A 944-nucleotide genomic window follows, 5' to 3' on the forward strand; every position below is an offset into this window, starting at 1 on the left:
TTTGAGTAAAGCAGATTGCTGTCCATGATGTGGATGGGCCTCATTCTATTAGCTGAAGGTCTGAATAAATAAAAGGCTAACCTCCTTTACCGCTTCCAAAGAAAGAGGGAATTCCCTGGAAGACTGCCTTTGGACTCAAATTGCAACTGTTTCCTAAGTCTCTAGTGTTTTGGGCTGCCCATCAGATTTTGGACTCACCAAGCCTCCACAATTTCAAGTGCCAACACCTTAAAATCAACGTCTATCTATCTGAAAGCTTTGTAGTTCATTTGGAGAATGATTTGCCATATTTGCACACACACACATATATATGTGTGTGTGTGTGTGTGTGTGTGTGTGTGTGTGTGTGTATAGAGAGAGAGAGAGAGGGAGAGAGAGAGAGAAACAAATATATATATTTTCCAAGAAGAAAAAAATATAATTTTTTCCAAGAAGTATATTTTCTTGGAAGATTTTCCAAGAAGGACTGTGGCATGTTGGGTTGAGATAGAAGCTGATGTCAAACAAGGATGATAGAGGTAGAAATAAATAGAGTGATGTCAATTTGTCAATGGTCTGCTCTTCAGAGTTATAACTATGTTTGCTTCCTCTGGAGGAACCTGTAACTGCAGGGGCTCAGACAGAGAAACAAGGACTCATTTTATCCAAAGACCACTAAAGGACCTTCAACTAAGTCTATCTATCTACAGCTCCCTAAGACTGGCAGAATCCCAGTTCAAAATCATATGCCCCACAGGTTGCTGGCCACTGCTTCAGCTGTTAGCTTTCTAGAGATTATTTGTAGCTTTAGCTCCCATTCTGTGTTAGCTTGTAATAGCTTCACTGTATTTCAGATTTTACAGACATGTCAAAAATGGATAGGTCATGTTGCTTTTGGAACAGTTTACCAAATTCAGCTATTTTATCTGGGATATCCATAGAGACTCCTTCAGACAGGAGCCTGT

The 944-nt window shown here is 39.8% G+C and overlaps 1 annotated feature.

Moving 5' to 3' along the window:
• Positions 353–553: a silencer, noted in NCBI's record as "peak5317 fragment used in MPRA reporter construct". NCBI's record gives its function as "represses an SCP1 promoter by STARR-seq MPRAs in K562 erythroleukemia cells {active_cell/tissue: K562}" and the evidence as "EXISTENCE:reporter gene assay evidence [ECO:0000049][PMID:32103011]".

The sequence above is a fragment of the Homo sapiens genome, chromosome 5 (genome assembly GCF_000001405.40).
Source record: "Homo sapiens chromosome 5, GRCh38.p14 Primary Assembly".
Classification (NCBI taxonomy): domain Eukaryota; kingdom Metazoa; phylum Chordata; class Mammalia; order Primates; family Hominidae; genus Homo; species Homo sapiens.